Source organism: Homo sapiens, chromosome 2, assembly GCF_000001405.40.
Source record: "Homo sapiens chromosome 2, GRCh38.p14 Primary Assembly".
Lineage (NCBI taxonomy): Eukaryota > Metazoa > Chordata > Mammalia > Primates > Hominidae > Homo > Homo sapiens.
The window spans coordinates 6,537,223-6,558,502 of record NC_000002.12 but is presented as its reverse complement, the minus strand read 5'-3'; the positions used below and the strand labels follow the sequence as shown (position 1 = coordinate 6,558,502).

The following is a 21,280-nucleotide window of genomic DNA, read 5'->3' as shown; positions in this document are numbered from 1 at the left end:
AAGAAAGCAAGATTCAGAACTGTGAACATTTTTCCCAAACAGGTTTAGAATCAAATTCTAATTGAGTTAGCTAATAGTCACTAGACATGAGCATTATATTCACTATGCTCACAATTTTATTGTTGATTTTATTTTTTATTGTTAGGTAAAGGCAGGGTCTTTCTCTGTTGACCAGGCTGGAGTGGAGTGGCATGATCATGGCCAACTGCAGCCTCAACTTCCTGGCCTCAAGTGACCCTCCCACCTCAGCCTCCTCAGTAACTGGAACTACAGACACAAGCCACCAAACCTGGTGAATTTTTGTTTCTGCAGTTTTAGAAGGGACTGTAGCCAGGCTCACTGCACGCTCTTGCATAGGCCATGCACTGTACACTGCAGGGGAGGCCATTTATACTGTAATATTTTTAGTGGCACCCTCCTCCCCCCACTGTATGTAGAATACAACTGTACATCACACAAAGAGGTCCTAAATCTGATCCATGTTTGCCTCTTGGGTTAACATGCTCTATTTCACAAAACTCAAGTATTCTCACTTGAGTTTCTCAACTACAGTTAAAAAGGCCAACAGGTGAGCACCCTACCCTAGGGCTACTGATTAACTAGAGTAATCAGAATGTTCTCTTGGAAACTGAGAGAAGAATGCAGTTATTATTGGTAGTAGAAAAAGGAAAGAAAAATATGCTGAGAAATGTCATCATATAGAAGACAGAGGGAATCTCATATGAACCTATGCAAGTGAAGGTTATGAAGAGTCAGAAACAGTGAGTCAACAGCGGAGGCAGATTGTTCAATAGAGAAGACTGGAAAAGATCACAAAGAAAAGAAGACATCGTGATGGCCCTGGTAGAGAAAACCGGGTAGTAATTCCTTTAGCAAAAGTCTCAAACAGGTGAGTTCATACTGTTGGGCCGGCTCTCTGTTTGTCTGAAGCATTTAATTTTCATGCTTTTGGGTAAGTCTGGCATTTGCCAGTGCATCACAGCCTCGTGCTCTTCTATTATCTGACACCTTGACACTTCAAACAATTGCATTACCTACCTGACTCTTGAGGGATTCCAATTTATGCTCAAGTTCGGCTTTCATTCCAGAGCAAATCTCTGGCTTCATTTTCCATCCAGTCCAGCTGTGTTGCAGGTCTTGTTCAGTTCTTGTGTGATCCCAGCATCTTTACCATGACACTTGTTTTCCCCAAGCTATTTTGAGTGAAATTCTCTTCAGTGCAACATCAGCCGTCCTCAGTAGAGCGTCAGATCTTCTTACATTAAGTTCACAGCTCATTTTGCAACACAATAGGCCAACTCAGCTGCTGAGCTATTTACTTGAAGATTCTCTTCTACTTTACCACTAATTACACGTGTATTAAATTTTAACCTGCCTGGCAGCCTTAACAGTCTGAAAACTAATATTGACTAGTTGTAGATTAGAAGACAGGAAGGAAGGAAATAAATAAATAAACAAATAGGGGAGGGAGGGAAAACAGGAAACAGGAAATAATAGGATCATGACTCATAGCATTGAGATCTTCTGTTCCATCTAATGAGGCCATGGTGTATTAAAAACTTCAAGGAACTGGGCATGGTGACTCACGCTAGTAATCCGAGCACTTTGGGAGGCCAATGTGGGAGGATCACTTGAGCTCAAGAGTACAAGACCAGCCTGAGCAACATAGCAAGACCTCATATCTACTAAAAAAATACAATAAATAAAAATAAATAGCTAAGCCTGTAGTTCCAGCTATTTTGAAAGCTGAGGCAGAAGGATCGCTTGAGGCCAGGAGATCAAGGTTGCAGTAAACTTTATGATTGCACTACTGTACTCCAACCTGGGAGAAAGAGTAAGACCCAGTCTCAAAAATGAATAAATAAATAAATAAATAAATAAATAAATAAATAAAACCTCAAGGAGTTAGGCTTCTCCATTTTGTTTATTCTTGTAGTTTTTTTTTTAATAGATGACAATATTTTGTCGGATTTGTTTTTTTCTATTCAAATGTTCTCCAAGCATATTCATCATAAACTGGAAACCTTGGACACTCAGGTGTTCTCACACTTCCAGGTTTTTCTTAGAGAAACTGCCTTAAAAATTCAGAACCTTCAGAAAGACATCCATACAAAGGGGAAAGGTGAGCTTATGTCCTTTTAGTTTCTTCAGATCAGGGAAAAGGCATTTCAGCCAAGGTTAGTGGCACAAATTCTGTGACTCAACATCACTAAACATAAGAGAAATGAAAATTAAAACCACAACAAGATACTATCTTATACCAATCAGAATAACTGTTATTAAAAAGTCAGAAATTAACAGATTTTGGTGAGGATGTGAAGAAAAGGGAATGTTTATATGTTGTTCAAGGGAATGTAGATTAGTACAACCTCCACGGAAAACAGTACAGACATTTCTCAAATAACTGAAAATAGAACTATCACTCAATCCTGTAATCTCACTACTGTCTACCCAAATGAAAATAAATTATTATATCAAAAAGACACTTGCACTAGTATGTTTATCACAGCACTATTCATGATATGAAAGATGTGGAATCAACCCTATGTGTCCACCGAGGTATGACTGAACAAAGAAAATTTGGTATAAATACATAATGGAATACTCCTCAACCATAAAAAGGATGAAATCATGTTTTTTTTCTTTTTATAATGAAACTGAAGGCCATTATCTTAAGTGAAACAACTCAGAAACAGAAAGTCAAATACTGCATGTTCTCACTTATAAGTGGGAGCTAAACAAGGTATATGCATGGACATAGTGTGTAATCATAGGCATTGCAAACTCGGACGGGTGGGAAGGCTAGAGGGGGTGGTTGACGAGAAATTATTTAATGGGTACAATGTACATTATTCAGGGGATGGATACACTAAAAGCTCAGACTTCACCACTTCACAATATATCTATTTTGATACATATTTTGCTACATAGATATATTGTGAAGTGGTGAAGTCTGAGCTTTTAGTATGCACTTGTATCCCTTAAATGTACACACACACACACACACACACACACGCACACACACACACAAAGTGTGTGCCTGTAGTGTTCTGGGAATAAAGAATAGGCAGAAAAAGAATGTCTGAAGTAGCAAAGAAACATCAGATGACAGATGTTGGAGGTTGCTTCAAGTGTGCTTTGACATTTTACAAGTTTTATCTGGTCCTCAGTGGCAACTGTGTAAAGATGGTATTATTTCCTTTTTGTACATGAGAAAATTAAGATTAACTTTGTGTATTTCAGAAGACCCTGAGCCAGACTTCATGACTGTAAGTCTAGTGGTGTTTCCACTATGTCCGACCTGCTTTTCAGTATGTCAGGGCTGTACAGAAGATAAGACAGATACAGCTGGTTGGCGTCGCTGCTTCTCCTTCATTGGATTTTGTTGTGGATGGTGTGGTATTCATTCAGCCTGGACCGCTGCCTCATTTACTATCAATTTGCTTTTTGTCTTCTCAGCATACTTTTTTTGCGTCACTAACCACTGGATTTAATGATTTTCAGAAAAGAAGATATAAATAATATCCAGAAAACTGTTTAAGAAACTTTAAAGAACTTACAGTTGCTAATAGAAGAAAGGAATGATCTGAATTTAAAATGCCAATTATTGACAAATTGACTTAGAGGTGAGACAAACCAAAGACAGTGAACCAAAACATCTGCCTGTTAGAATGTCATCAAAAGCACTCTACTACAGCTCTCTAGAAATATTTTGCCAACAGTCGCCCATAGCATCAACTGCATGGCTGTCACACATGGATGGTAATATGTTTGATGGAAAGAAGCCAGCAGATACAGTGAGAGGGTGTGATGTTTCTTTAATGGCAAGGGATGTTGAAACTTCGTAATATAATTACAGGAGTCAGGAGACGATGCAGCGTGCTCTCAGACAGTCGGCTACCAAGATTTCTCGATGTTCTCTATGGAAAGCTAAAAATGATACCACCCACATGAAGCAAGAATTTTTTCGGGGAAAATCACTTTTGTCATTCTTGAAGCAACTCTGTTGTACTCCTGATTGTTCTAAGGACTCAGTTGCCATGGAGGATTTGCATATAACTCACGCTGAACAACCTCAACAAATCATAGGTGTTTTACACATTGAGCAATATTAGGAAAATTAGAGGTCAGTTCCTGGGGCTCCTTTCTCAACTTCCCCAGCCAATGGCTCCATCGGAGGGTCACTTTGAAAGCAACAAGGTAGAATCTTTTAAGGTGGCTATCTACCTAGGAATAAATCAATTTACACTGCAATTTACTGCTGTAATTGTGCATTCGGAGGTTTGACAGTTTGATAGTCTCTAAGGGTTTTGTCAAGTAAGAAGAAAAAAGCTAAAGAAATGGAAAATTACTATTGTGTGGACAGGACAATTTGCCCCATGAATCTCCTTTGCTGCTATTAAAATACGTTAGAAAAAAGGAAATGTTTTAGTTTGGCTTCATGGCAAATGCTATGATAACTAGAATCTGAAATAAAAGGTTGATTATTGTTGATAATCAGTAGCACTGGGTTTTGTGCATAGGACTCAGAAGGTTGGACTGAACCCTGTACTGCTGATCAGAGGTATTGCTGGGAAGCAGTCTTTCTGACTGAGACCAGTGAACCCTGTGATTTACAGAGAGGTGGTGTCATTCTGTACTCTTCCAATAGTACAACAGTGCTCCATTCTAGACTTTTGTCTCTCAGCACCACATTACTAGCTGTGGATCTGCAGGACTTGGAAAGGTGTGGGCTCAGAGGTGAAAAAATGATTATAAATTTAACTTGGTTAGAGTGAGGAGGCTGGATCCAGTGACTTCTCAGGGTTTTTCCAGCTTTAAGATCTAAATTTCTCTGAACGTTGATTTTAGTAAATTTGGGGCAGAACTTAAATTCATCTTTGGTTTAAAAATGTCATTTTGTAATAATATATGTAAGCTATCACTATTATAGTATTCTCCCACCCCCACAACACACGCCACAGATTTATTTGAAGGAATTAGTTTGCATGATTTTGGGGGCTGGCACGTCCAAATTGTGTATGGCAGGCCAGAAGGCTACAAAGTCAGGCAGAAGTTAATGATGTAGGCTTGATGCAGAATTTCTTCTTCTCTAGGAAATCCATTTTTACTCTTAAGTCCTTTCAACTGGTTGGATGAAGGACACCTACAGCATAGATGATGTCTTACTTCATTTTGTACTACTGTAAATAATATCACAGACTGGGTAATTTATAAAGAAAAGAAATGTATTTTTCACAGTTCTAGAGACTCTGAAGTCCAAGATCAAGGAATCAGCATCTGATGTGGGCCATCTTATTGTGTCCACATATAAAAGGGTGAAAGAGGATGGAACTCTGTGTCCTCATGTGGAAGAAGACTAGAAGAGAGCAACCTCACTCCTACAAGCCCTTTCAACAGTGACACTACTCCATTCATCAGCTAAACACTTCCCATTATGCCTCACCTCCCAACACTATTGCATTAGGGAGTAAGCTTCAAACACGTGAATTTGGGGGACACATTCAGACCATAGCATTTTGCTCCTGGCCCCAAACATTCATGTCCTTCTCACATGCAAAATACATTTCTTTCATCCTAATGGACTCAAAAGTCTTAATTTGTTCCAGGATCAACTTTAAATTCTAAATCCAAAGTATCATCTAAACATAGTATGGGCAAGACTGAAGTTGTGATTCATCCAGAGGCAAACCGCTCTTTAGCTATGAGCCTATGAAATCAAACAACTTACGCATTTTCAAATTACCTTAGTGGGACAGGCCCAGGATAAACATTTCTGGTTGGAAAGGGAACAATAAGAAAAAAGGAAGGAGTAACAGGTCTGATATAATCTGGCTCAGTGTCCCCACCCAAATCTAATCTCGAATTGTAATCTCCATGTGTTAAGGGAGGTACCTGGTGGGAGGTGACTGAATTATGGGGGTGGTTTTCCACACCTCGTTCTTATGATAGTGAGTGAGTTCTCATGAGATCTGATGATTTAAAAGTGTGGGACTTCCTATTTGCTCTGTCTCTCTTCTGTCTTGTGAAAAAGGTGCCTGCCTCCCCTTCACCTTCTGCCATGATTGTAAGTTTCCTGAGGCCTCCCAGCCATGCAGAACTGGGAGCCAATTAAACCTGTTTTCTTTATGAATTACCCAGTCTCAGATAGTTCTTTATAGCAGTGTAAAAATGAACTAATACAAGGTCCTAAGCAAGTCTCAAACCTAGCAGGACAGACAACATTGAATCTCAAGACTGAAGAATAATTTTCTTTGAACTCCATGTCTTGCTTTCCAGACAAATGGGGTGTGGATTGGGCCTCCAAAGCCTTGGGTAGTCACTCCGCCACAGCTTTGCTGGGGAAAGCACACACTTCAGCTCTCACTCACTGAAATCATACTCCTGTGGCTTTCCTAGGCTCGTCCTGAATGCTGGTGTCTCTATAATTCTGGAATCTTCGGGGCACCACCTCTCCCAGGGTTCCACTATGCATTGTCTTAGTGGGAATGCTCTATAGCAGCCCTGACCCCACAGTTCTACCTTACATTGTCCTAGAAGGGCTCTCTGCGCCTTATTTAAATTCTGTGTGAAAGCAGGCATGCCTCTACAGCTCTTGCACTTTGCAGAATTAGCACCACATGGATGCTATCAATGCTCACTGCTAGTGCCTTTTGAAGTGGTGGCCTGAGCCAAAATTTGGCCTGCTTGAGCCAGAGCTGGGGTAGAGGAGTGCTGTACCAGAATGCAGGGAGTAAAGACCCAAGGTGACCACAGGCATCCTGGGCTCCTTCTTTTAAATTGCTCTGCCTTCAAAACCTTAGCGCTCTGGGCCTGTGATTATAGGGGCAGCCTTCAAAATCTCTGAAATGCCTTCAGAGTCATTCTTCCATTGCCTTGATGAATAGACTCTGGCTTTCTTCTGTTGATACTCATATCCTCATCAAATGGTCTCTTGACAACATCTTTGGTTTGCTCTCCTAAATAAGCTTTTTAAAATTTCTTTCAATAGTCAAGCTGAGAATTTTCCAAATCTTAACATTCTGCTTCCATTTTCAATAAAAAATATGCTTTTAAATTGTTTCTGTCTTTTCACATTTTACTGTAAATAGTTAAGAGAGGCCCCACAGCAGCACACTGAATGCTTTGCTGTTTAGAGATTTCTTCTGCAAAATATCCCAGTTCATCACTCTTAAGTTCTGGCTTCGGTAGAGTCCTAGGATATGACCACAATTCATCAAAGTTCTTTGCTACTTTGTAACAAGGATGACATTACCTCTATTTTCCAACGCCTCACTACTCATCTCTGTCTAAGACCTCATCAGAATGGCCTTCACTGTCCATATTTCTACAAACACTTTGTTCACAGAAATTGAGGCTTTTTTCCAGTCTTCACTACCAAACTGCTTCAGTCTTTACTCATTGCCTAGTTTCAAAGCTGCTTTCACATTTTTAGGTATTTGTTATAGTAACATCCCACTCATGGTACCAATTTCTGTCCTGGTCTGTTTTATGCTGCTTTAATAAAATACCACAGACTTGGTAATTTATAAAGAACATGAATTTATTTCTTACAGTCCTGAAAGTTGTAAAGTCCAAGATCAAGTCACCAACATCTGATGATGACTTTCTTGTTGCATCCTCACAAGGCAGAAGGTCGAAAGGCAAGAAAGGGACAGATTCTGTTCTCACATGGCAGAAAAGCAAAAGAGATTGAACCCACTCCCACCAGCACTTTTTGTAGCATTATTAATTTGTTCCTGAGGGCAGTCTTCATGACCTAAGCACTTTCCATTAGTCCTTATGTCTCAGCACCATTGCATTAAAGATTAAGCTGACAACACATGCATTTTGGAGAACATGTTCAGACCATAGCAGACGGTAATCTGCTTTACTTAGTTTCTACTGATTTAATTGTTCACCACATCTCAAAAATACTTTCCCAGCAACATCAGGACTAGTGTTTGGCCAAACAACTGGGCACAATAACCCAGCCAAGTTGATACATAAAAGTAACCATTGTAGGGTGAAAACAAACGAACAAAAAAACTTGGAAATTAATTCACTTTTAAAATAAGTAAATCCTTACCATGGTGGTAACAGATTTTCATATACTTCACTAATTTATATTGTCCAGTTATGGTCTCTTGTCTTTGTGCTAGTGAGAAAAAGCAGTTTTAAATCTTTGATCACATGTGATATGCTTTTGTAAAATCACTAATGTGGCTATTTTGAAATCTGGGAAAAACTCTGAGGCAATCTCTGCTGAGGAGTTTATTGTAAAAGAGCCTCTCCCTCCAACTTTGTTTTTTCCATTCACAGTGGACAGTGTGCTCTTGAACTTAGGTTTAGGGTTAAAATCTAGTTATTATAATGCCTAGAGGTTATCTCTTATCCTTGAGCTTAACTCTTAGAACACAGAGAGCTCAGAGGATGGGCCTAAGACAGCTCTAGGCAAGATTTTGCATGAGTTTTCCAATTATTGTCTTGCTTCATTTAATGGTAAGTCAGAAACTAGGAGGCAGATTGTAGTTGAAACAGCAATAATTTGTGGTATAAAACCTGCAATGCCTCTTTCCTTTTTTTCCTTTCTTTCTTCTTTACAAAATCTTTTTATAGGCAATTCTGAACTCAGAATTTCCCATTCTATTCAGTGTTAAATTTGCAGCTGTGAAGGAGAGACTTTCTTCCCTCAGGGAACACATTTTGGATTACTATTATCTACATTTCCCTTTTTGAGAATTGGTTTTTCTCCCTAGAAATGGGAATAACAATTACCACCTGGTAGCGTTGCTAGTTGTTATAAGGATAAGAAGGTCGATGTCTATAGTATGAAATAAATGTTTTGAAAGGAAAGGAAAAAGGAAGGAAGAAAGGAAAGAATGAGGGAGAGAGGGAAGAAGGAATAATGGAAGGAAGAAGCAGGAGGAAGAGAGGGAGGAAGGAAGGGAAAGAGAAGGAGAATAAAAAGGAGAAGTAAAGGAAGAAAAAAGGAAGATAAAGAAAACCTTGCAGAGACCATCTGAAGGTTAGCTCAAGTTCTTTGGTGCCTCCCTGCATCATGTCTGGATAAGGAGTATGGGCCCTCTGCAAATGGCAAGACTTTGACTTCAAGACAACCCTTTCTTCAGAAAGTTGAGACTCTCAGGAGTGTAGATCTCCTAGTCAAAACAAATAAATAATTTCAAGTCACTAGACCTTCAGTGACCTTCAGTACTGTTTAGTGTTATGCATTTCTAAGGACTTTATTTTCAGAAACTGGGGTGGGGTGCAGTGTCTTACACCTGTAACCCCAGCACTTTGGGAGGCCGAGGAGGGCAGATCACCTGAGGTCAGGAGTTCAAGACCAGCCTGGCCAACATGGTGAAACCTTGACTCAAGTAAAAATACAGAAATTAGCCAGGCATGGTGGTGGGTCCCTGTAATCCCAGCTACTTGGGAGGCTAAGGCAGGAGAATAGTTTGAACCCGGGAGGTAGAGGTTGCAGTGAGCCAAGATGATGCCACTGTACGCCAGCCTGGACAACAGAGTGAGATTCAGTCTCAAAAAAAAAAAAAAAAAAAAAAAGAGAAAGAAATTGAGAAATTGGGTGAGATCTCAAATTAATGCCTACTAATGATGTAATCAAAAGAGTAAATATTCATCCACTAATATTCTTGGGTGATTGGACCCCAAGGAGCATGTCCATATTTCAAAATGTGTTTCTCAACCCAATTCTGTGAATGATAGATTCTTTCAACTAGAGGCAGGGCAGGAGAGTAGTGGAGCTTTGTGCTGGATGAGATTTGGGACAAATTCAAATGCTTTGCATGTGGAAGAGTGTGGCAGTAGTGAGAATTCCAGGGATTCTCCAATCCTAGGGAGCTTCATGGATCAAGGGTCCAACTGTAAATCTATCCCTGCATTTATGTGGAGGCCACACTTGCCATGACTACTCTCAGGCAATGACTGAGCTCAGGAAAAATGCTCCAAGGCAGGGCTCTAGACTTGGAGAATCATGAGAGACACAAGCCCTGCTTTGGCTGACATTGGCAAGAGGCCTCCCACAGCCTTGCAGAATTTTCCTAAAATCCTCAGTAGACCAGGCTGCTCCCATCCAACCCCCCCTTTTTCTTTCTTTCTCTCCAGGTCAGAGTTGCATCACGGTCTGTGACTCTCCCAGCTTCTTCCAGGTCCCCCTCCAATTTATTTTATTTTATTTATTTTTTGCACAGGTGTTTCGCCTAATAAAATTCTCACTTACCTATTTCTGTTTTAACATCTGCCTCTCAGAGAACTGTTTTGGGTGACTAGCTACTGCAGTTTGCCTTGGACTTTCCTGGTTTTAGCACCAAAATTTCCACATCTTGGAAAATCTAAGTCTCATGCAAATCAGGACAACTGACTACCTTCAGATCATGTCTCATCGAGGGGAGAGGACACTGTAGGATTCCTTGGAGCATGTGCAACTGGGAGAAGCAAGACACTCCATAACTCTGCTGCAGAAGTAGAAGAGGCTTAGAGAAATAGAAAAGGGAAATTTTAGGCTTTTTTTTTGGGGGGGAAAGATTTTTCAATCTATAACTCTCCTGCTATCACCCCTATAGTATCTTCTAAAAAGTCCACATTGCTGGTTAAATTTAATATGTTGATTTTTTTTTAAGAAAAATTGAAGAAGCTAAGTTCTATACTTAGGTTGGTACAGCATGAAAACAAACTGATGTCTCTAATGTATGCAACTGAAGATGGCAGGACAAGAGACACCTGGGTTACAGGTGAATTTCAGATCTAGGGAGCCACCCAGAGGTGCTTATCAGGTGGGTGGCCCATATACCAAAGATGAATCCTTCAGTCTTTGGGATCTTTCTTCCTGCTATGAACATTCATGAAGTACCTTCTGTGTGCCAAGCATGGAGCTGTGGGATAAAAAGACAAGGTCCTGGCTCTTTAGGTGCTTAGCAGTTCAATAGCATCAGATACAATACTGTGGTTGTTCTAATGAAGGTTTATATGAGCACTGTAGTTAAAAAGGGACTTTTAGAATATTATTATTATTGTTATTATTAGTAGTGTTAGTATTATCTTTCAGCCCGGAAAAATTCATGAGGTCTTAAGAAACTTGAGCTGAGGCTTGAAAGGAGAATAGAAGTTTGTTACTAATCAAGTAGATAAATAAACATTTCCAGGTGGCAGAAAGATATATATAGTGGCCCAAAATCATGATCATGTCTGGCTTATTAAATAAACCACTAATTGCTACATATATTTGATCCATAAAGAATGAAAGGGAAAGGATAGGAAGTCAGGCTAGAGAGATCTGTGAGATCTATTCTTTAAAGACTTTGGATGCTGCTGTGGTCAGAATGTTTGTGTTCCTCGAAAATTCATATGTTGAACTCCCAACTCCCAATGTGACAGTATTTGGAGGTGAGACTTCTGGGAGATTATGAGGTCATGAGGGCTGCAACCCTCATGAATGGAATTAGTGCCCCTTATGAGACAGACTCCAGAGAGGTTTTTTGTCCTTCTTCTACTAAATGAGGACACAGCCAGAAGGGTCTGCAACTGAGAAGAGGAACCTCTTATGCTGTCTCAGTCCATTGGGCTGCTATAACAAAACACCACAGACTGAGAGGCTTGAAAGCAACAGAAATTTATTCTTCACATTTCTGGAGGCTGTGAAGTTCAAGGCAGATTCAGTGTCTCTCGAAGGCCTGCTTTCTGGTTTATAGATGGTGCTTCTCCCTGTGTCCTTACAAGGTGAAAGGGGCAAGGCAGCTCCCTTGAGCTTTTATAAGGGCATTAATCCCATACATGAAGGCTCCATCCTCATGACCTCCTCACCTCTCAAAGCTCCCACCTCTTAAAACCATCACTTTAGGGGTAGGATTTAAATATGTGAATTTTGGCGGACCACAAACGTTCAAACCACAGCAGATACCACTTAGTATCCTGTAGGAGACTGAGTACAAGTGAAGGCTATGGAAAAAGGGAGTGGTAATATTAGAAACACCTTTGTATAGAACAGTTGAGAACTGGGCAAGGCCAGAGACATGGCCATAGAGAAGTAATGGAAACAGTGTAGGTAGATTGGAAAGGTGGATTCACAGAAGACATATGGGGGAGAAAAGGAAGAGCATCTATTGCTTTTTGTAGGGAGAAATCATGAAAATTCAAAAGGTTGCTATTCATTTTATAAAACATGTATAATAAGCACACAATAGTATATCTCTATTGATATATTTATTGCTGATTATTTTAAACCAATGCTCATTTTCTGCTGTTGTTTTTTTTCAATGGATAAAGACCAGTTGCCAACTAAATTTTATGTGGCTTAGGAGAAATTTAAAAATAAAGCCCTCATTTTTTTGTCTGTTTACTTAAATTGAGTCTTAGTCTATCCATCACTCAAGAATGTACAAGCACTTTCTAGGAAACATGTATTAATGTATATTCTGATTTCAGTAAAATTGCAAAAATCCTCTTAGTAATACGCATCATGCAACTAACTACTGCACCCCAAAACCGCACAGCTGGTGGAACATGCACACTGCTAAGCAGGCCCAGTCTTGCTGCGTTTTCCACCAGGCAAGCTAAGCAACGGATTCTTTTCTTGCTGCTTCAGCAGAGCAGGAAGCAGACTTCCCAATTTAAAAAAAAATCATGGTATCTTTATATTATTAGAAATGCATGCAATCTTCCCATCAGTATATTTAGGATTCCAATTAAGAGGCTCTCTTGAAATTTTAGGTTCCCATATGAATGCTAACACCTTACAAGATGTACCCTACCTGTATTTCTTTGGTTTCATTAGCTCTTCCCAAAGTTGAAAAGTTATTATTTCCCCCTTTTGATAAAGTTTCAAAACTGAGGCCCAGAAACAAACAAAAAGATTTGTTCCAGGTCACAGAGAGATAGAACAGCAGACCCCAAATCAAATTAAACTGAAACCTAAGCTTTTTTCTACTTACTATAAACTTTTCCCAGGACCAGTTTTTCCAGTTCTCTAGAGTTTGCTAAAATGAGGAAGTTAAATGATTAATGAGGAATGTCTATGCATTCAATCAACAAGTGTTCGGTTGTTTCTGGAAAGTCAGAAAATAAGAATTTTCCAAAGTGAAATTGAACAAAGAAACCATTTAACATTTCCTTCTGAACATAAAGGAAAGATGCATTAAAAGTCCCTGTATAACTATATGATTAATTTGGGGCAATGGAATGTTAGCCACTTCCAGCCACATTGTTTTATCCTCTATTCTCTCTTCACCCTGTTTTTCAGTTCAGATTATGGGTCAGTGGAGCCATAAATGAAAGGCATTTCATCCTTGAATCATCATATGGAAACTGCCCGACTAACCTTTAATTGCACTGATGTGAGTGAGCAGTAAGTCCTTATTTTAATAGTCCAATAAATATTTTGGAATTATTTGTTACAGCATCTGAGCATTACATACCCTGGCTATACAGATTATATCTTTCAGCCACATTCTAGTTCTTGCTATCATAATCTATCATTTGAAATACTGAAATACCCCAAGACTGATCTTTTAATTTATACTCTCTTGATCTCTTCCAATCTTTCTTTAATTTTTCCAGACATATTTTTAAGACAAAAGTTAGATCATTTGATATTATTGCTTAAAAACTTTTAACTGCCTTTCCAAAGTTCTCAGGGTAAACCTTCTATGTAGGATCTGGTTCCCACCATTTTCATGCTCCTTATTCTTTGCCTTTCTCTCTCTCTATTTATTTCACAATTTTAATCTATTTTTTGTTCTATCACACTGTGACTTCTCCCACCCAGTGGTACTCTGGTAAGTGTTTTTTTGTGTGTGTGTGTGGTTTTTTTTTAGACGGAGTCTTGCCTTCGCCCAGACTGGAGTGCAGTGGTGAGAACTTGACTCACTGCAAGCTCTGCCTCCTGGGTTCATGCCATTCTCCTGCCTCAGCCTCCTGAGTAGCTGGGACTACAGGCACCCGCCACCACGCCCAGCTAATTTTTGTATTTTTAGTAGAGACGGGGTTTCACCGTGTTAGCCAGGATGGTCTCGATCTCCTGACCTCGTGATCCGCCCGCCTCAGCCTCCCAAAGTGCTGGGATTACAGGAGTGAGCCACCGCACCCAGCCTCTGGCAAGTGTTTAATGATTAAGTCTCTAGGAACAAAAAGTATATTATACATATGTGTGTATAAATTTGTTTTAAAATTTATAATTTTCAAATAATAAACTATGTAATACCTTTTTGTAAATCCCATTTTGCCAATTAATTCTCCCAGGATGATTTCATTGATTTTTGCCAAACATATGTATTCATAACCAGTCTTATCACCAGCTTACTGTTGTAATGAAAGTGAGATTTGACAAAATTAGACCATGAATAAATAAACATCTGATTACTATCTGATTCTGCAAAGGAGTTTCTCACAGCATTGACAAATAAATAAAGTTCCAATGTAATGTTGATGGTATTTTTATTTAGCAAACAAATAAGACAAAAGTAAAATAACAAAGATGTGTACTGGAACTTCACTAATCTGTCAAGGATATCAGTGACCTACTTGCTGAACCAGATAAGAGTTCTCAATTACTGAAGACTACTTGCTCCATTTTTTTGTATTACTCACAATGTAACAGCTATAGACATACACACTTTTAAGTATGGTCAGCATTATTAAGATTTTTTAATCATTTGCTTTAATTTAGACAATCAACAGAACTATAAATCAAGCCCTGCTTTGTAATATTTGCCTATTTTCATGATGCGAATATTCCCACCATGACTTATTTCAGACTGCCAATGTGACACCACTGAATGCTGAATTAAGAAGAGAAACATAGTAAGAAGCACATTGTATAGTATTTCCACCATACAAATACAATAGGCATACCTAATCTAAAAGCATAGATAATGGTAAAAGAAGTGGGAAGTGAGTCTTGATTATTTATTGCCTTTATTTTAACATAATTAATTTAACTGTAATGAAAGGTGTTATTATAATAAATGCATTACAAATGTGTTTAATTAGTTTTAACAATGGCTGTGTTTCAGGCCGAGCATGGTGGTTCATGCCTGTAATCTCAGCACTTTGCAAGGCCGAGGCAGGAGGATTGCCTGAGCCCAGGAATTCGAGACCAGCTTGGGCAACATGGCGAAACCCCATCTCCATTAAAAAAAAAAAAAACACAAAAAAATAGCTGGGCGTGGTGGTGTGGGCCTTTAATCCCAGCTACTTGGGAGGCTGAGGCACAAGAATTGCTTAAACCCGGGAAGTAGAGGTTGCAGTGAGCCAAGGTCATGCCATTGCACTCCAGCCTGGGTGACAGAGTGAGACACTGTCTTAAAAAAAAAAAAAAAAAGGCTGCGTTTAACAACAGGGCATGCAAAATTCCTTAAAATTTAACTATAGGCTCTCGTAAGCCAGTTGCAGTTGACATCAGCATAACACATCTCCTACCCAGGACTTTCCCATGTGCCTAGAATTTTTTTCTCACCTTTTTTGCTCTGAGACTTATCCTTCATATTTTACTTCAAAGTCCACTTCATCAGGGAAACCTTCCCTTATTCCTTGGGCTGTATCATTTGGCCAATCTTTTTCTGTATGACTATAACTGGGTTTTTACAGATGATTAAACAAATTTTGATTTGATACACTTTAGCATTTATAAAGAACTTTCACATGTATTTTCACATTTTTCAGTTCTATGTGTTAGATAGACTACATATATGTATATGTATATATATAATATCTCTTTAGATGAGAAACTGAAGTTCTGAAAATATATTAATTTTATTGAAGTTCTCTGCACAGATGGGAATGAGAAAGATGCTACCTGAATTGAGAGTTTTCAGGTTTCAAACACAGTGCTATTTAATTTTAACTTTAACACATAGACTTAAGACTATGGTACCTTTGAGAGCTCATTCTATGACTAAGAAAAAACATTGTTTTGAAACATGTATTATGATTTAAAAACTAACAACTATTATTAAGTCAACAATTTGTGAAAAATACACAAAAATGGCAATTTGCCGTAAACTTCTATTTTCTTAATAAAAGAAATCACGGTAAGTATATAAAACAAGAGAGGGAATTACCTGTGTGTGGGATTAGGGGCTGGGAAACCTTCCAGATTTTAGTCCGCTTAGGGCTTTCCTGCTGTCTCTGGATTTTACCTTCTCATGTCATCTTTTCTGAACAACTTGGGTGCATCCTTGGCATTTTGCCGTGAGTCGGCGAATTCCTTCTCTGTTCTCCAGTAGATATTGTTACAGGTAGATGGGCATGAGAGGGGCAGGAGATGACTCTCCCTTTTCCCATTAGATATGTCAGGTGATGGTTCGGCAATTAATGCACTGACTCTCTAAATGTGATAAATTGGCAGCCAGAGCCGGGGAGAGGCCATTTTCTGATGGTCCACACCTGTTAACATTACGTGTTAATTAAAGGCAGGCCCAGGGAGAAGCCACTCCCTGGCCATGCACATTAAGAGACAAAAATGGCGAAGTATGATCTTGTGGATATACTCCACGGGAAAACAAGAAGAAAGCCTCAGATAGGCATGCATACAACTCCCTAAACACGCTGCGCATGCTCATTTCTCAAGGGTAAGGAGAGCACGGCGCATGTGGAAAGACCACCCTAAGGGAGGAATCATGGGAAATAGGCGAGCCTATAAAGTCCCAGGATCAAGGTTAAAGGTTCTTCTTTTTTTTTTCTTTTGGACCTCGGTGCCTAGTTGGGTCTCTTCCAAGTGAACTTCCTTTTCCTTCCTATTCTAAAGCCTCTTAAATAAACTTCCACTCCTGCTCTGAAACTTGCCTAGGTTTCTTTTTCTGCTTTATGCCCCTCAAATTATTTCTTCTTAGGAGGCAAGAATGGAAGTTGCTGCAGGCTCATATGGATTTGCTGCCTGTAACTACAGCTAATTCAGATCTTTGCCACTGGTAGCAATATTGCAGGAAGTTTTTATGTATTTGCCTTTACTAATTATTGTAAGACCTAGCGGGCAGTGGCCTTCATGTTGGACACTGCATGGGTCCCCTGCTGGCCTGCAGCTAGGCTGCCCGTGGGATGGGCCCTTCCAGCGTGGTCTAATCCGTAGTGAAGTCTTTGAAAGAATAGTCTGATGCTGCTTCTTTGTCAAGGAGGCTGTGCTTCAGTGTCCAGGTTTTGGAGATAATGGATGCACATGAGCAGTGTCGGTTACAGTCTGTACCGTCACACTCAGAGCTGTGAGTTGGTGTAACAGCAATCTAAACTTTTTGCCCAGAAAAACTTGAATATAATTTTCATTTCTATTTTTTACCTGCTACAGAAACCTTGTACAAATGACTTACTTTTTTGCATTTTGGTTTTCCTAATGAAAAAAACAGGGAGGCATTCAAAATATCTGTCTTACAGAACTGTGATAATTAAATACAATGACATAGGCAAATCTCCTGACTCAGAATCTGACACATAGTAGGTTCACATAGTAGGTGTCATTTCCTTCCTATAGATGAAAATCTCATTGGAGGAAGACACTTTACTTAGCTAAAGAGGCTTTTATACCAGGCACTAAAAATAAATAAATAATAAATAAGCAAACCAACAAACTTAAGTCATTTAACAGAAAACACAATTTCTGTTTCATGAAGATGAGGTACATCATGGCTTTCTCCATGTGATACATGAAGGCAATATCTGACCATAACCACAGAGTACTTTAGGGGGATGGCAGAACAGGCTGGCTAAGAGTTTGGACTTTGGAGGCTACCTCCTTGGTTTGAGTTCTGGCTCTGTTATTTATTTGCTGCATGATTTTGCACAAGTTATTTGTGCAAAAATAAGGAGTTCAGTTTTCTCATCTGAAAATGGGGATATAAATAATGTTTATTTCATAGGGTTATTGGAAATATAAAATGTTAAAATAGATAAAACACTTAGAACAGTGCCTAGCAACATTGCAATCAGTATGTAATTGCTCCTCCATGCAGTGTTCAAATGAGTTCAAATTGTGATGTTTGCCAGCAATGGCATAATATCATCATCATCATCACTGCACATTTCTGGAGCATCCCTAGGTATATGGCACAAAATGAAGCCCTGTATTAGTCCATTGTCACGTTACTACAAAGAAGTGCCTGAGACTGGGTAATTTATAAAGGAAAGAGGTTTAATTGACTCACAGTTCCGCAGGACTGGAAAGGTGTCAGGAAACTTACAATCATGGCAGAAGGGGACGGAAACACATCCTTCTTCATATGGTGGCAGGAAGGAGAAGTATGATAGCAGAACGAAGGGGGAAGCCCTTTATGAAACCATCAGATCTTGTGCGAACTTACTCACTATCGTGAGAACAGGATGGGGAAAACTGCCCCCATGATTCAAGTATCTCTACCTGGTCCCTCCTACGACACATGGGGATTTTGGGAACTACAACTCAAGATGAGATTTGGGTGGGGACACAGCCAAACCATATCAAGTCCTTTGAAGAGTTTTCTTAAAGCTCCTAACAATGAGATTAATGTGGGCCATTCCAGGACTTTAGGAGGTCCCACAGAATTGAATGGTGGCAGTTCTTTGTGACACCTTGGACTCCATCTACAGGGTCCCTATATGCATGGATAACTGTTTGTGTCTCCTTGGATGAGTGCATCCCAGACAGACCAGCCAAACAGGATAGGAAGGCATGTTGGGAAGGAGATGGTATCACAGGCTCTAGTGGCCCTTAGGGACATATCCATGAAAGCTGCTCTTTTCTCCTGACTCCCAGGCCCCACATGAAATGATGGCAGTCACTTTAAGGGGACAGCAAGTCTGCTCAGCATTCAATAATACTATTTTGTGATTCATCCTCTCTTGGTTGGAGTAGCATGCCAACTCTGGGCAGTGACAGCAGGCATTAGGGCAATACCAGCCTTGTTTACAGAATACTTAAATCAGGAATAAAACGTCAGTCTTCTTTTCACTATCAACATATGCTGGCAATTCTAAACAACATCAGGGATAACATACACCTTTCTGAAAAATACTATTTGATTGGTCTAAGTTCTAAATAATTGCTCTGCTTATTGTTGAGTTTTATAACACATGTAAAATTTAAATTAGCACATTTTGTAACTTGTTTTTTTAATTCATATTTTATTTTAGATACAATGGGAACATGTGTGGATTGTTACTTTCCATGCATGCCCTGCTCCCTTGCTCCACCCTCTAATAGTCTGCAGTGTCTGTTGTTCCCATGTTTACATCCATGTGTGCTCAATGTTTAGCTACCACTTATAAGTGAGAACAGAGTGGTATTTGGTTTTCTATTCCTGCATTAATTCACTTAGGGTTGGCCTCCAGCTCCATGTTGCTGCAAAGGATAAGATTTCATTCTTATGTATGGCTGTTTAGTATTTCGTAGTATATATGTACTATATTTTCTTTACCTAATCCACCATTAATGTGCACCTAAGTTAAGTCCAGGTCTTTGCTATTGTGAATAATGAGGTGCTGAATATGAATGCATTTGTCTTTTTGATATAATGATCTATTTTCCTTTGGGTATAATACCCAGTAGTGGTATTGCTGGGTCGGATGGTAGCTCTGTTTTAAGTTATTTGGGAAATCTCCAAACTGCTTTTCACAGTGGCTGAACTAATTTACATTCCCACCAACAGTGTATAAGCATTCTCTTTTCTCCACAGCTTTGCCAGCACCTGTTGTTTTTTGACTTTTTAAGAATAGCCATCTGACCGATGTAAGATGCTGTCTCATTGTGGTTTTGATTTGCTTTGCTCTGATGATTCATGATGATGAATATTTTTTATATGTTTACTGGCCACTTAAATGTCATCTTTTGAGAAGTTGCTGTTCATGCCATTTGCCCATTTTTTAATAATGTTATTTGTCTTTTCCTTGTTGATTTATTTTGTTGATGTTGATGCTATTCCTTTCTGTTTGTTAGTTTTCCTTCGAATAGTCAAGCCCCTCTGCTGCAGGTCTGCTGGAGTTTGGTGGAAGTCCACTCCAGACTCTGTTTGCCTGGGTATCACCAGCAGAGGCTGCAGAACAGCAAATATTGCTGCCTGTTCCTTCCTCTGGAAGCTTCGTCTCAGGGGCACCCGCCAGATGCCAGCCAGAGCTCTCCTGTATGAGGTGTCTGTTGACCCCTGCTGGAAGGTGTCTCCCAGTCAGGAGGCACGGGGGTCAGGGACCCACTTAAGGAGGCAGTCTGCCCTTAGCAGAGCTTGACTGCTGTGCTGGGAGATCCACTGCTCTCTTCAGAGCTGGCAGGAAGGAATGTTTAAGTCTGCTGAAGCTGCACCCACAGCCGCCCCTTCCCCAAGGTGTTCTGTCCCAGGGAGATGGGCGTTTTATCTGTAAGCCCCTGACTGGGGCTGCTGGCTTTCTTTCAGAGATGTCCGTCCTGCCCAGAGAGGAGGAATCTAAAGACGAAGACTGGCTACAGCAGCTTTGCCAAGCTGTGGTGGGGTACGCCCAGTTTGAACTTCCCAGTGGCTTTGTTTACACTGTGAGGGGAAAACCGCATACTCAAGCCTTGGTAATGGGTAATGGTGGACACTTCTCCCCCAACCAAGCTCGAGCATCCCAAGTTGTCTTCAGACTGCTGTGCTGGCAGCAAGAATTTCAAGCCAGTGGATCTTAGCTTGCTGGGCTCCGTGGGGGTGGGATCTGCTGAGCTAGACCACTTGGCTCCCTGGCTTCAGCCCCCTTTCCAGGGGAGTGAACGGTTCTGTCTCACCAGCGTTCCAGGCACCACTGGGGTATGAAAAAAAACTTCTGCAGCTAGCTTGGTGTCTGCCCAAACAGCTGCCCAGTTTTGTGCTTGAAACCCAGGGCCCTGGTGGCGTAGGCACCCGAGGGAACCTCCTGGTCTGATCTGTGGGTTGTGAAGACCACGGGAAAAGTGTAGTATCTGGGCCAGAATGCACTATTCCTTATGGCACAGTCCCTCAGGACTTCCCTTGGCTAGGGGAGAGAGTTCCCCGACCCCTTGTGCTTCTGGGGTGAGGTGACACCCCACCCTGTTTTGGCTTGCCCTCTGTGGGCTGCACCCACTGTCTAACCAGTCCCAATGAGATGAGCCAGTTACCTCGACTGGAAACGCAGAAGTCACCAGTTTTCTGTGTTGATCTCGCTGGGAGCTGCAGACTGGAGCTGTTCCTATTCAGCCATCTTGCCAGCCACAGAACGTGTACTTTTAAATAGAAATAAACAAATCCGCCTTTTTGAGTTCCATTTTAATTTTGGAGTGCATATACTCTCCTAATTTACTGAAAAGACCCAAGACTCCTACACCCTTGTAGAAAGTACACACAGTGCCTCTGTG

At 40.2% G+C, this 21,280-nt stretch overlaps 2 annotated features.

Moving 5' to 3' along the window:
• Positions 983-2,182: an enhancer, noted in NCBI's record as "BRD4-independent group 4 enhancer chr2:6696453-6697652 (GRCh37/hg19 assembly coordinates)". NCBI's record gives its function as "activates an origin of replication core promoter dependent on BRD2, P300/CBP, MED14 and CDK7 cofactors, and independent of BRD4, by STARR-seq in HCT116 cells {active_cell/tissue: HCT116}" and the evidence as "EXISTENCE:reporter gene assay evidence [ECO:0000049][PMID:35650434]".
• Positions 19,474-20,673: an enhancer, noted in NCBI's record as "MED14-independent group 3 enhancer chr2:6677962-6679161 (GRCh37/hg19 assembly coordinates)". NCBI's record gives its function as "activates an origin of replication core promoter dependent on BRD2, BRD4, P300/CBP and CDK7 cofactors, and independent of MED14, by STARR-seq in HCT116 cells {active_cell/tissue: HCT116}" and the evidence as "EXISTENCE:reporter gene assay evidence [ECO:0000049][PMID:35650434]".